The sequence below is a fragment of the Homo sapiens genome, chromosome 12, assembly GCF_000001405.40.
Source record: "Homo sapiens chromosome 12, GRCh38.p14 Primary Assembly".
Lineage (NCBI taxonomy): Eukaryota > Metazoa > Chordata > Mammalia > Primates > Hominidae > Homo > Homo sapiens.
In genome coordinates, this window is record NC_000012.12 from 99,435,409 (window position 1) to 99,451,839 (window position 16,431).

Consider the following 16,431-nt stretch of genomic DNA (forward strand, 5'->3'; position numbering starts at 1 on the left):
CCAAATACATTTTCTAAAATCCACAGTTGCCATGATCAGAGCTACTTGGGGATGACACAGAGAGTTAGAACATTACTTCTCAGAGGTCTTATTTCAATTGTAGGCAAACATGATCTAATCACCATTATAATAACAAGTTGGGCCACTACAGGGCTTTACAATGTACACAGCACCATGGCACCTTTTATCTGGTTTGAGTCTGACTACACCCCTGAGAAGCAGGCAAGGCAAATACCATTCTCACTTTGCTGAAAAACTGAGGGTGAGAAGGGTAATACAGAGTGCATGTGACAGAAGAAAGGTTGGAACTAAATTCCTTTTAAAGAGGCACCTACAAGCAAAATTTTGCACATAATTCCAGGAATTGTGTAGACCACCCATAGCCTATCCAAGAACACCAGGTTAAAAATATTTGCCCTCAGACAGACTGATTTAATTGGTCAGGGGTGGAACTCAGGTATTTTTTTAAAAAGCTTCCCAGGAAATTCATATTTGTCCAAAACTACTTCAAAAATTCATATTTGTCAACGTTGACTGTTGGGTCCTGTTGCCTTCTTTCTCATTTTTTTTCCTTTCCAAATCGCTCTTTGTTTTACTTAATATTATTTTCTATTACGTCTATCTTTCTGTTTTTAGCCTTCTCTTCTCACTCAGCTTTTGTTGCAAGTCTGGAAATTACTGAATACAGTCTTCTTTGGCTCTTTCCTTCAGACTACATACTACTGCCATCTATGTTTCTGTTCTTCCTCCTTTTTCAAAACTATTATTCTCTCCTGAAGCTTCACCCTTCTAGAATATCAGTATTCCACCTCGATTATTTTCTACCTAATGAGCTAATTAGCATTAATGGAAAAACTACTGAAGTTAGGAAATCAGAGATCTTCCAGTAAGTCAGTGGCCTCAGGCCCAATCAGTAAAATAAGGAAAAATATACCTACCTGATAGAATTTTTGTGAGAAACAAATGAAACACATACTCAATCATGGGAATAAAATACTCAATACTCAATAATAAAAATATTTTTAAAGACTATCTCCTTGAAGTTCTTTTTATTCCTTATCTATTTTTTGCTGCAACCCAATACAATATTCTGTACTCTTTCCAAGTTATATGCCTCTGTTTTTTACATACCCACTCTCATTTCTAATTTTAAAATTTAGCATATGTATTCTATAACCCCACAGTGCCCAGAAAAATGTTATTCTGGATTTGGCAAGAATTTTTTGTAACCCCAGTTCTAAACTGTTAATAATGGCAGGGAGAGGTGCTATGGCTTATTATTAAACTGCTTTATTGTTAGCTCATTAATCATACACAGGTCCAGAAGAATATTCAAAATGTTTCTTTCAGGTTGAGTAGGTACCTGATCTAAACATGGTCCATTATGAGTAGGTGTTCAGAAATGACTCATCTTTCCTCCAATCATCTCCTTTAGTGTCTTGAGAGCTCTGAGCCTTTGACCTTTCTCCTTATTTTCTTTACCTCTACAGCCTCTTTGCTTCTTTTTGCTATGGTCCCTCCTTAGCTGCAAAAGAATGCAGCCTGGTGTTATTTCATTCTATTGAATTCCATTTAGGATGAGGTTTTGGGTTAGTGGTGAGGTTTGGATGGTACTAGGAACATCTAAAGCCAATTGGAATGTCTTTTCCGGCTGCTATTAACAAATACCAAAAAGTTATGGGGTCTCTCCCAGTTCTGGAGGTTGAGAAGTCCAAGATCAGGTTTCCACCTTGGTTGGGTTCTGGTGAAGGTCCTCTTTCAGATTGCAGATTGCCGAGTTCTTGCTGTGTCCTCATGTGTTGCAAGGGTGAACAAGTTCCCATGGGCCTCTTTTATAAGTGAACTAATCCCATTCATGAGAGCTCTGCCATCTGACCTAATCCTCTCCTAAAGGCCCCACTTTTTAATACTATTACATTGGGGATTTGAATTCAACATAGAAATTTGGGGAAAACACAAATATTCAGATGATAGTACAGAATTTCAAATTTTCCAGATTGACTTCTTAGGATATTCTTATGCTCATTATGCTAAAAATCTCTGTTCAATATTGAGCCCATTTAGATGACTTGTCTGTGGTATTGTGCCAAAATAGCCTCTTTTTCTGCCCGTGGTCACTTCTCAAGAGCCCCCTTCTATTTTAGACTTGATTTCTATCATGAAACAGGGAAAGGAGTGTAAAAACCCATCTAGCTAAAACCACCACCCAGAGCACAGACCAGGAATCCAGTGCTCTGTCAACTGCTAATGTTAGTTTGTTTGAACTTTGGAATTAATTAGATGTATACACACCTCCTAACAAAATATTTAACAATTGAGTCCCTATCATTCATGTCTCTTCAGTCAACTTTTAGGCTCTTCTTTCTCATTCTCTGCAACCAGAAACTGTTTCCCCACCTCTGCTCATCCTTTAACATGCTGTCATACTGCCTTATTTCCTTTTACCATCAAACTACTAAAAAGATTAGTCTACAATCAGGGTATCTTTTCCCACTCTTCAATTCCTTTCATCTTAAGCTTCTACATTCTTCACCTGAAGGAAATTGCATTCTTGAAGGTCTCTGCCCTCATAATTGCCAAATAAAGTGACATTTTGGTCTCTCTTCTCCTCTATCTTCCTGGAAGTTTTGACAATGTTGACTAATCACTTTAAAATTTTTTTTCTTTATATCCACAGTAAGAGTTGTCTTTCTTCTTTTATTTTTCTCAATGATTCTCTCTCTCTTTTTTGCTAAAGACTTCTTTCTAAAGTACATGTGAGGAAATCACTTAAGTTCCTGGTTCTCAACTTCCTCACCTATAAAATGAAAATATCCATTCCAAAAAGAATCATGAACATTAAATTATATTAGGTACTCCAAAAATATAATTATCCTCCTTTAGTGTAAACATTTATCAGAATTCTGTCTTTGGTACTATCTCTCTTCATCATTGAATTTTACGAATGAGAATAAAATCTTTACCTTAAGCCCTCAACTCTCTCCAGAACCCCATACCAATATTTCCAATTTGTATATCATGCTTCATGTTCAGTAAATCTACAAAACCAAACTTATCATGTCATCTTCTCCCTCATCAAAATAAACATCTGTTCAATTCTTTCCTATCCTTATTAGTAGCATTCCAAAGTCCCAATCAACAAGGCTCAAATCATTAGTCATCTTTGGCTCCCTTAGACCTAATCCATCTATCTACTGCTAATTCTTTATCCAAAGTGTCTCTTGCACCAAAGACTACATAAAATGTATAAAACATTATAGCCAAGTGTTACTTATATTAGCATCCAAAGTAAAACAATGTAATCTGCCATATCAACAGAACCAAGAGTACACGCAATAAACTGATAGCCTACATTGTAGTTAATGTTGAAACACTGTAACATTGTCTGCTTTCCCCAAAGATAGGGAACAAGGCAATAATTCTTGGTTTTACCACTTCATTGCATCATTTTACTATAGTCACAGCAATAAGAAAAAGAAATAAAAGGCACAAATATTAGAAAAAAAAGTCAAACTATCATTATTATAAGATGACATAAAAGAATCCTATGGAAGTTATTTTTTAAAAAAGCAAACAAGTACTCTAGCATTTAAATAAAATTAAAATGGTAATATAAAACTCAACTGCATTTCTACATGCCAACAACAAACAATTAAAATATGAAAGCAATAAATAATACTAAATTATTAACTCAGTAAATAACAATTTTTTTCCTTGTAGCAAAAATTAAATCTTGACCCCCACCTCACACCATACACAAAGCAATCTGAGATGGATTATCGACCTAAATATAAAAACCAGAACGAGAAAACTTCTAGAAAAAAGTGGGAGCATATATTTACAACCTGGGACAAGTCACAAAAACACTAACCATAGAAGAATAAAATGATACATCTGACATAAAAATTAAAATATTCTGCTCATCAAAAGGCACTTGAGAAAATGTTTAGGCAAATCACAGAGTAGGAGAAAATATTTAGAGTGCATACACCTGAGAAAGGACCCATATCTTGTGGGGTTACAGAAGAATTTATAAAGAATTACTACAAATAAACAATCACAAAGCTGAACACCCCTAAAAAAAAGAGGTGAGCAGATACTTCACAAAAGAAGATCTAAGAATTGGCAATAACCACAGAAAAAGGTAGTCATGATCATTAGTCACCAGAAAAAATGCAAATTAAAACCATAATGAGAAATCATTTCACACCCAGAAGAATGGCTAAAATAAAAAAGTTTAAAAGGCGAGAATGTGGAGAAATGAAAATTCTCACACATTGCTACTGGTGACTATAAAATGGAACAACTTTTTTGGAAAGCTGTTGGGAAGCTTTTTATAAAGTTAGCTATTCATCTACCCTGTGATCCAACAATGCCATTCTTATTTATCTATATGAAAACATATGTTTATAAAAAACACTTACATGTGTATATTCATAGCATATTCACTCATAATGGTAAACAATGGGAAACAACGCAAGGATCAATCAACAGGAGAATTAATGAACAAATTGTAATATACCATAGTATATTAATCCAATGGTAAACCACTTACCATGAAAGAAACAACATGGATTAATTTCCAAACCATTATGTTGAGTGAAAGAAACCCAAACAGTGATACGCACACAGAAAACATACTCACCATAGGATTCCATTTATATAAAGTCCAAGAATAGCCAATCCTAATACATGATGATAAAAATCTGAACATTCTTGCCTCCAAGGCAGGAAGGAGGGCAACTAATTAGAAAGGGGCAAGAGGAAACTTTCTGGGGTGATGGCAATGTTCTATATTTTGTTTTGAGTGGTGTTATACCTATGTAAATAATTAAAGTTCATCAAGCTATATACTTAAGATCTGTGTATTTGATTCTTCAATTGTGAAAAACAAGATGTTTCACGAGGAACTATTTTAAAAACAAAGCCAACACAAGTAACATATAACTATTCAGTAAAAAGAAGATAACTAGAATGTCAATAGACCTACCTAATATATATTTCAAAGATTTTTTTTTCAAGTATTTAAGTACAAGTAAGTAGAAAAATTCAGGCTTGTGGGTTAATATACTGGAGAGAAACAAAGAGAAAAGAGTAATAACCATTTCAGTCACTCTGAATTTGAAATAGATTGCTTCACAATCTAGAGGATTTTAAGACGTGAAATAACTGAAAGAAACAAAGGTGAAAAAGATCAAACACAGGATGCAGAACTAACAGCTGTGACTTAGTTAATGCATATGCTGAATAAAAACAAACTCAACAAAGCACTGGGAAGCCGGCAGCTTCCAAGTAATTAACTAAGCAGAAACACATGCAATGTGTTATCAGCCCTATCTCATATTGAAAGCAAGGACTCCTTCGTTACAATGGATGCTCTCCATTTACAGGTAGAGTTACAAGAAAATAAACTACATAAAGGTATACAAGAGGCAAAGGAAAAGGAACCAATTTGCTACATCTAAGTAGTATCTATTTTCAGTGAATGAGATAAAAGTTCTGCCGTTACCTCACCTACTCAATATCAGTCTTCCCACAATAAAAGACTGAACACATCAGCTAATGGTCAAAGAATTGTAAATTCATGAATAAGGGTCACATTTACATTTTTATTTTCAAAGTTCAACACAAGTTTTAAAAGTGAAATTATCATTTCAATCATATTATTAATTTTTAATAAATAAATTTTTAGAACGGTCTTTAATACCCATAAATCAATCTAACTCCACACTTTCTGCATTTTCAGAGAGAAAACCAGAATTAACAAATATGTTAGAGTATTAAACCTGTGATTAAAATATAGGCTTTTATATAAGTTCATCAATAATTATCTTTTCTTTGGAACAGTAGCTCTCAACCATTTTCCATCCCTGACACACCTGTGATTTGTCAGAACACAGCAGGAGTCTCCTGTTCTATCCATCCATCCATCCTCTATGCACATCCTCTAGTCTTCAAATCCTTTCCTGAAACCTCATGTCCTACCTGAATACTCTCTCATAAGTATTTCCATGTGAATATACTACTCCCTTTCTACAATGAATGAGGAGCCCCCTGAAGGTCATAACTCATATGGAGAAATAAGTCATGCACCAATGTCTCCAGGGTGGAAGAAAGAGTAGCCTAATTGAAGTTATATTCTTTCTGCAATTATATATAGAGAAAGAAAATATATAGATATATAGCTGTTATTGTTCTATTACATAAATACAGGCTGCATTGGTTCTAATTTAAACACCATCATCCTGAGTTACTTAACTTTCTCACTTATTTGTTTTTCTCCTTAAAGCATTGTTATAACATTTAAGAAAGATGGAGTCAGTTACTAAGATAAACATTTAAGTAACGACAGCACCAAGAAATTGGGTCAAGATGGAATTTCTGGCTTTAATTCTACCTCTAGATTTCTTCAAAGATAACCAGGTGAACCTAAACTCAATTAGAATATGCAGAGAAGGATTTATGAAATAATGCCTCAGTTATTCAGATCATGGATCTATAGAAAAGAATCTGTTTTTCATTCATTGAATGACCAAGTGCATTTACATTAGAGAATCTACATTGGTATAAAAACAAATATATTTAATAATGAATTTTATTAACATATATAGGACAATGTCTTACTTAAATAGCTTTAAAATGCTGGAAATGCACTAGAAACACATTAACCCCAGAAACACCTTCATATGAGAGAACCAGTGTCAACGAAAATGACAGATAGCAACTAAATCTGGGTTTAGTGAGGTTTATCTTGAAGCAAATAGACCCCATCAAATTTCCTTGAAAAAGAGGACATTTTGTAATGAGATGAAGGTGTCACTATGTTACCCAGACTGGTCTAGAACTCCTGGGCTCAAGGTGATTCTCTGCCTCAGCCTCCCAAGTAGCTAGGATTACAACCGTGTGCCACTGTGCCTGGCAGAAGACGACATTTTTGAAAACATTTTTCTTCTCCACATATTGGGGCACTATGTCAAATGTTACCTGTGCCTAAATGCCCCTGAACCTGCATATTCCATACTCCTAAAGATGTGTCAAATTATACAACCTCATGAGGATATTTTTAACCTCTGAGCAGGACTGGAAGAGGCAAATATACTAAAGTAAAAAAAAAGAAACTCCAAATCAGTTGGACAATGTAGCCCCTTTGGAGTGCCAGTGATGTTATCTATAAACACTGAAACACAAATTGCACTTGAATTGATGAAGGATATAGGAAACAATTTATATTAAAGTGTTCTACAAACTGCAGTGGCTATCCAAAATTTAAGTGCCATTTTATCAATGAGGATGAAGATTATAATAAAAATGATCTAAAATAACTTATGTTAAACAAGGAAAAATATTAAACAAATCTTGCTTATTTAGACCTAAATAGTCTTAAAAGACACATTTTCCCTACAATTTGGCTCAAAGGATTTATTCATACTCTATATCTAAGTAGATGATGAATGGCATTGATTGAATCCAAAGTCCTCCTGTCTTGGATTTTATGAGGCCCATTCAGAACGAGCCAGGTTGAGAACACCACCAATTTCGTGTTCTGGGTCCATCTGTTGGCAAAAATATAATGCAAACAGCTTTATAAGTGCTATTTTCAATGAAATATCACAGAACAGCTTGTCCCAATGATATTTCTAAAGCTTGCCTGCAAACCGCCTACTGGAAAATCCAACTGAAAGAGAAGGGAGAAAAGAGAGAAATCCATAGAGGAAAGAGACAGGAATGGAAAAAAGAACAAAGGATAAAGAGAGACTAGCTAGAGGACTGGGAACACTGGAGGAAAACAAGGAGCAATATTAAACGCAGACAATATTCATTGAAACCATAAGAATAGAGAAGATAGAGAAATATAAAAATCACTTGGGTTGGAAGACAGAGAAATAATCACAAACCATGCAGCATTGTCCAGAAGAATGAAGACAAAAGGATCAGGAAACACCAGAAAATATGTAACAGCTCAATAATTGGAGCATAATTATTAAAATGTTGTGAGAGAAAAATGATGTAAAATAGCTATTTTTCTAAGTCTCACTGCTTCATGTAACAGGCACAATTCATTTTTCCAAAAACTAATGCAGATTTCAGTGTTTATCACCAACTTGAAAGGAAGCAAACATCCTCTTCTGAGTCCCCTCTTTTAATTTAGAAATCCATTGACATACCACATAAAACAGTCCAGGCATTGCAATATAAGTGATGTACATGCATTGATTCAAATCAAAACACATTAGAGGGAAAATGATGCCATTCTGGGCACTTACCTGGGGTCGAATGACTTTTACAATATTTTTGAGGGCAGTATCAGGGGATGGAGGTGAACAATCAGGTGTTGGGCCTGTTGAGCTGTTTCTATGGTTACTAGTTCCTGGAGTAGTAACTGCTACCTCAGAGGCATTATCTGTGAATAAAAATAGAACTGCCATGAACCTAATCACTCAGTTTACCTTTTAAGACTTGAAATTAATTTTCTGAACATAAATTGAGATTTCAACTTTTAAAACTGGTATCAATTACAAGATCATAATGAGGAATATGCTCAGTAGTATATTTTAAAGATAATGCTTTTTGAATGCTTTGTTTCCTTCTAAAATGGTAACTATCACCCCCTGGAATGTTGTTCTGAGACAAGTGTATTATTATTCAATTCATAATGATAGATTATCCAGCATAGCTCTTAAGACTGCTACTACTATATGAATAACTAAAACCTTACCTTAACTAAAAAGAATATAATTTTATGATATGATTGGGCTAAAGCTTTCCCAATAATCTCTTAAATGAGTATTAATATTTATTAAAGTGGGAGTTTTATATCTCCCTGATGCATAAAATCCAAATTCAAGCCTCCTCAAATGACTTTTCCTAGAAATCCCACAAACTATAGAAAAGCACCCTAGTGAATGAAGCTTGATGAAAAACTGAAATTTGTGCAAAATGGTTTTATGATGTAGATAAACACAAAATTATCACTCCTAGATAAGTATAGCAACCTATGTGGTCAAAGCTAAATGAATAAAATTTCAGAATCTAAATTAATCTTCTCTTATGTTCAGTATTTAGGAGGGGGGAATAAAGAAAAGATGACTTGAAAATCAACAACATGTGTAACATTTTTTTCTTAAATTCATATTAAAGCAAAATAACATCAAGGATGCCATTTTAGAATGTTTAAAATACTTGGGAAAGGATGAAAATTATTCTATAAATAACTTCTGGTAGCACATAGAAAAGTTATTTTAACAACAATTTGGCAAACTTCAATAGCTTTTTATGAAAACTGCTGCAAGCTCAAATCTGCCAAAAAAATAAAAAATAAAAAGTTTACTTCTCTGTTGTTTTTAATTAGTTCCCAATAATTTTCTTTCCTAGACAGTTAGCTGAACTGATTGCAAAAGAGACTGAGACTGAATTTTTTATAGACCAGGAAGTTTCTCTGTTCCTGATCGCTGTCTACAATCCCCAGTGAAATACAGGAATTCATCAAGGCATCTTTTCCTCATAAAACACAAAGGGATGAATTATCATAAAACTCTACCTACCATATAAAAATATAACTCAGTCTCACTGAGGAATCCAGACAAAGGCCCATAAAACAAAAAATTCAAGTATGACACATAGAATTACTTGGATGACTCATAAAATAAGTCTTAAAAGTGTCCAGAGCACACTCTTCTAAGATTTAACAGAAAAGGTGGGATTTGAATTGGCATCACAAAAGAGATGGGGTGGTCTTCTGAGTAGATTAGAAAACCATGAGTCAATACTGAAACACACAAAACATTAGTCAGCAAGATGCTCTGATTCTCTCCAACCTATCCCTTCCTTCTTTCATTCATCTAAAAACTACACATGTAAGAACACTTATTTGGGGCAACTATGAGTCAAATATTATGTTATGTTCTAAAGATTAACTAGGAAGAATCTCTGGCCAAGGACTGGAGGCAGGTAGGGATGAATAGGTTAAGCACTGAGGATTTTCAGGGCAGTAAAACTATTATATTTAACAGTATAATGGTGAGTATACATCATCATTATATATTTGTCCAACTCATGGAATGTATAAATCGAGAATGAACCTGTATAAACTATAAACTTTGGGTGATAATGATGTGTCCATGTAGTTTCATCAATTATAACAAAGGTATCATTTTGGAGCAGAATGTTGATAGTAGAGGAGGCTTTGTGTATGAGAATATATGAACTTTGTAATTTCTGCTCAATTTTGCTGTGAGTCTAAGAAGTTCTAAAAATAAAATCTATGAATTTTTTTTCAAAAGAATCCCTGCCCTCGAGAAGTATACTGTTGGGTTTTTTCCTTTTCTTTTTTGAGACAGGGTCTCACTACCATCACCCAGGCTGGAGTGCAGTAGCATGAACACAGCTCACTACAGCCTCAACTTCCCAGGCTCAAGTGATCCTCCCACCTTAGCATCCTGAGTATCTGGGACTACAGGTGCACATTACCACATCTGGCTAATTTTTTGTATTTTTAGTAGAAATGGGGTTTCGCCATATTGCTCAGGCTAGTCTTGAACTCCTGAGCTGTAGTGATCCACCCACCTCAACCTCCTAGAGTGCTAGGATTATAGCCATGAGCCACTGCACCCAGCCCAAAAGTATACTCTTAAATGTGTCATCAGACATGTAAACAAATTACAATGCAATATAACTTGAGAACTGATAACAGATAAAGGAAGCATGATAAAAAAAAAACAGGGTGGGGTGGGGGAGTAATCAGACTATGGCTTGGACAGAAGATAGCTGTGAAAGGCTTCAGTTTTCAGGCAAGAAAGCTGGAACAAAACATTAGATATTAGGGCATGAAGGTAGGAAGAGCACAGTTGAAGCTGTTATTTCATATACAAAAAAACTGGAGATAAGTTTGAATGAGTGAAAGGAAGTTTTATTAGAATATAAACATACTTAATTCTGTAGGCAATGAGAAATATTGAAGACTGAGCAGGGAGTGACATAATAATAGATAACTTTTATTGAGCATTTATTATGTGCAGACAAGCCATGTTAAATTATTTTACTTATTGAATCTCATTTAATACCCAAATTAACTTACAAAATACATTCCACTATCACCATCCCTATTTTACAGAGAAACTCATCTCAAAGTTATATTCTCAGTTACTGGCAGAAAAGGATTCAAATTTCAGACTGATGCCATGTTACCCTTCTGAGAGTTAGCATGTCATAGCAGGTATGCAAAAGATATGCATAGGTATGATTGGGTTCATAGAAACATAGCCTGAAGAAGATCGGCATAGTTGAGGTAGGAGCACACTCTACTTCAAAATATAGTTGAACCAACTTCCAGAAACTTAAAAAGTAGACATAGACACTATGAAAAATAAATAATAAAAACAACAAAAAAGTCAACCATAAAAACATCTTTAGGGTATGCCTTTGAGTACTATATAGTATAATATTTAATATTTGGAAGCTGGAAGATATGTTAAGACTAGAGACCCAAGCTAGAGGTCATGACGTTAGCATTTTGGAGTTGATAAGTGATTAGATTCTGGACATGTGTTGAAATGTCCAGAACTGTTGAAATAGACCAAGAATTTTTTTGATGGCTCCTGAATAGACAAAGCAACCTTGAACAAAAAGAAAAAACTGAGCACATTACACTACCTGACTTCAAAATATACTACAAAGCTATAATAATCAAAACAACTTGATGCTGGCATAGAAACAGACACATCAACCAATGGAAAAGAACAGAAATCCCAGAAATAAATACACATATTTTTGGTTAATTTATTTCAAAGGTGCCAACAACACACAATGGGGAAAGGGCAGCCTCTTCAATAATGGCATTGGGACACTGGATATTCACATGCAGAAGAATAAAATTAGACCTTCATCTCACACTATATACAAAAACTAACTCAAAATGGATTAAAGCTGGGTGCAATGGTACATGTCTGTACTTCCAGCTACTTGAGAAACTGAGGCAGGAAGTTTGCTTGAACCCAGGAGTTTAAGGCCAGTCTGGGAAACATAGGGAGACCACTCTCTAAAAAAACATTTTCTTAATTAATTAAAGACTTAAGTGTAAAATTGAAGTGGTAAAACTATTAGAAGAAAACACAGAGAAAAACCTCCACAACATTGATTTGGGCAATGATTTTTTGGCTATGACCTCAAAAGCACAGGCAAGAGCAAAAATAGACAAATGGGATTATGTCAAACTAAAAAGCTCTGCACAGCAAAGGAACCAATGAAGAGAGTGAAGAAACAATTTATGAAATAGGAGAAAATATTTGTAAACAGTACCTCTGATAAGGAGTTAACATCCAAAATATATGGAACTCAAACAACTCATAGTGAGAAAACAATAACCTGATTTAAAAATGGGCAAAGGATCTGAATGGACATTTCTCAAAAGAGGACATACAAATGGCCGACAGGTATATGAAAAAAATCCCTAACAACACTAATCATCAGAGAAATGCAAATCAGAACTACAATGAAATATCATCTCACCCCAGGGAAAATGGCTTTTATAAAAAAGACAGGCAATAACAGATGCTAGCAAGGGTGTGGAGAAAGGGGAACCACTGTACACTGTTAATGGGAAGGTAAATTAGTACAGCCATTAGAGAGAATAGTATGGAGTTCCTCAAAAACAAAATATAGAATTACCACATAATCCAGCCATCCCACTGCTGGGTATATATCCAAAGGAAATGAATCATTATGTAGAAGAGATATCTCCACTCCCATGTTATTGTAGCATTATTCAGTAGCCAAGACATGGAATTAACTTGTGTCCATTAAGAGATGAATGGATAAATGGAAAGAAAATGTAATATATACATACAGTGGAATACTATGCTGCCTTAAAAAAGAAGGGAATTCCGTTATCAGTATAGATGAACCTGGAGGACCTTGTGTTAAGTGAAATAAGCCAGGCACAGAAAGACAAATGACACGTGATCTCACTTATATATGAAATCTAAACAAAGTCGAACTCACAGAAGCAGAGAATAGAATGGTGGTTACCAGGGACTGGGGAGATGTTGGTCAAAGGACACAAAATATCAATTAGAAGGAATAAGTTCAAGAGGTTTATCATACAATATGGTGACTATAGTTAATAACAATGTATTGTATTCTTTAAAAGAGTAGATCTTAAGAGTTCTCACCACAAAAAAAATGCTAAGTATGTGAGGTAATACATATGCTAATCAGTTCAATTTAGCTATTCCACAATGTATACATGTTTTAAAACAGCTTGTTGTACACAATAAGTATATATAATTTTTGTCTATTTAAAAATAATTAAATTTTTTAAAATTATTGATGTGCTGGATATAGGGAGAGAAAGAGAGAAATCAAGAATGACTCTAAGGCTTTTGGCCTGAGGAACTAAAAGGATAGAGCTGCCATCAGCAGAAAAGGGACAGACTATAGGAGGAGCATAAATTCTCTACCATATAACTTCCAATATTGCCTTCCCATTCTCTCTCTCCCTTTGGACTCTATTGAAGTAATGCTAGACAGACTTTATTCTTTTAACCATTTATTCTCTCTTTTCATTCTGTCTCTCTGTTGCATTTTTAATAGTTTCTTCTATTTATTTTCTAGTTTATTGGTTCTTTCTTCAGCTGTGTCAAGGCTGCTATCAAACCATTTTCTTAATTTTAGTAGACTTTTCTGTTCTAAAATTTCTATTTGGTTCTTAATCAAGTATATGATGTCAGTAGTTTGTATTTTTTAGTTCCTAAAAACATTTTCAAGCTTACTTTTATATTAAAATGGCAAATACAATTGGCTTTGGTTTTTTAATCTGATAATTCCAGCATCTAAAGTCTTTACGGATCCATTTCTGGATTTGTGGTTCTGACTCATGCAATCCTGTTCCGCTGTTAGTTTCATCATCAATTCTGTGTTGCTTATTATTCAACCTGTTGTTACAAGATACACATTTAAATATAACTAACTCTTAGTCTTTTAATAAATGTTAATTTTTAAAAGCATCGAAACTTATATCCTAATACCAGATGCTGAAGTCTGTGAACAACTTGCCTGTGTAACACTAGATCATTTATTTAATCTTTCTGGATTTCAAGTTTCTTAACTGTAAAAATGCAAATGATTAACTACCATCTTCTATCATTTACGTGTGCAGATAAAAGAAAAGAAAAATAACTTGTATGTTTTTAGGCACATAATAGGGGTTTTCAGTATATGAGTTTCCTTTTCCATTATCAAAAGAAACACCATCAGAATTAAAATAAAATATGGAAGATCAAAGAAACCCAGAGGGAAAACAAGAAAACAAATAGTTATCCTTTTTAGACAACACATCTAGAGTACTTGCGTGATATTTGAGAGCAGTATCTTTTAGCTATTAACACAAATTGGTAGGGACAGAATTTAGTTCCAGAAATAGCAGATGATCCTTTGAGACATTGTACTGTTCAAAGTTATCCAGAGAAATAGGACCAACAGGATCTATCCATCTATCTATCTATCTATCTATCTATCTATCTATCTATCTATCTATCTATCTATCTAGACAAAGATTTACTGTAAGGCATTAGCTCATATAATTAATGGAGCCTAAGAAGTCCAAAGATCTGCAGTTGGTAAGCTGGAGGTGCAGGACAGCCTATGTGTAGTTCCATTGTAAATCCAAAGGCCTGAGAACCAAGGAAGTTGATGCTGTAAATTCTAATCCAAAGGTTGGCAGACTCGAAGTCAAGAGCCAACATTTCAGTCCAAGTCTGGAGGCCTGGAAAAAAACAGTGTTCCAGCTCAAGAGGTCAGGCAGGAGAAATTCCCCTTTACTCGGCCTTTTTGTTCAATTCAGGTCCGCAATTTATTGAATAAGGCCAATAACAGTAGGGTGGATGATTTGCTTTACTCAGTCTGCCATTCAAATATTAATCTCATCCAAAAACACCTTCACAGATACATCCCAAATAATGTTTAGCCAAATGTGTGGGCATCTCACGGACTAGTTAAGTTGAACTTATAAAATTAAACACAACAGGAATGATTCATTGCAAGGGCTGGTCTTAACTGCTTTTGCACTAAAGCCAGAAGAAAATGCTGGGAACTCCCTGCAAACTGTAAGCCAACAGCTTCTTGAATGTTTTTTTTCTGAGTATTTTAATACATAGTATAAGACAGTGGATAATTAAGTACTAAATTATTTAGAAAAGACTAAGTATCTTCATCTTCTGAATCCATGAGCTATACCATTACACTGATAATTTGATTTTGTACTATCTTGCATTGTTCATTAACTCTTCCAGACTAGGTTATATTTTTGCATAAAGTCATATTTCTCTCTATATAGCTCTTAGCTTAATGCAATCCTTTTAAAGTAATAAATGAAGTAAAGTAGATAAAGCAAAACCTGTGTCAATGGAAACCAACACAAATGTATTTAATAATATGAAGAAAGCTGGTCTGGCTTTTATAATAATTCCATGATCCTTTCAAAGAAAATCCAAATGAGAAGCATATTCTAGAAGATATATGAGTCTTAAGAAGCTGGTTTATTCCCAAAATATCCTTGATAATATAATTTACAAAAAATACCAATTATCCAGTGGACTTGGTAAAATAGCAGCCTATGACCAAGACAGTTTTACATGCTCAACCTACATTTCACATATGCAGTTACAAAATATTGCTGATAAAAAGGAAATGAGGCACATAAAACTGCTTAGGGAAAACTGCAAAATATACTTGCAATTTCAGATTGAAATAAGAGGACTATCTTCTTGTCAGATTCCCTTACTACATATTAATTATTCATTATGAATGTCAGTTTAGTCTATAATAACAACATTAGAAAAAATACTTATAGTTTATTTTATCTTTTAGAAGAAAAATATTCTATGACTATAAAATAATTCATGTGCAACATTACAGTCTAGTATTTTAACATCAATACCCAGCATGTAACAAACAGTTTAAGTATACCAGGGACCATGATAGATGCTTTTCAGCTGAAGAATAGGACTGAGATTACTTCTGGCTGGGAATTCAAGAAAGCTGTCATGGAAGAGGCAGGAGTTATGAAGGCCTCTGACAGACTAGTAAAATTCAGGCATGAAGAAATGGCTGGGAAGGGCGTTCCATGAGTTGGAAGCAGGTTGAGCAAAATGTAGAGAGATGGGAAAGAGGCACATTTGTGGAATAAAGAAGAGTTCAGTTTGAATAAAATATAATATTCATGGAGGAAATGCTAAGAAATGGAGGAGTCATACACAAAGACTTTGGGCTTTGAAATCAGAAAACCCTAAGCTGAAATTCTGGTATATTTAACTTCAGTTTCATCTTCTGTAAAACAGTGCCTTTCACATAGTGTTACAAAGACAAATGAGGCATGTACAGATACGTGTGTGTGTGTGTGTATGTGTATGTCTGTGTGTGAATACATTGCCTGACACA

The 16,431-nt window shown here is 34.3% G+C and overlaps 1 protein-coding gene across 22 annotated transcripts in view; it reads right to left on the reverse strand.

Moving 5' to 3' along the window:
• ANKS1B (ankyrin repeat and sterile alpha motif domain containing 1B) overlaps positions 1-16,431 on the reverse strand; it is a 1,250,151-nt gene that overhangs the window by 700,623 nt on the left and 533,097 nt on the right. For all 22 annotated transcript variants that reach the window (XM_006719514.5, XM_006719507.5, NM_152788.4 and 19 more), the window contains one exon: positions 8,265-8,401. In XM_006719514.5, coding sequence (XP_006719577.1) covers positions 8,265-8,401 — 137 coding nt within the window. The remainder of the gene's footprint in view (positions 1-8,264; positions 8,402-16,431) is intronic.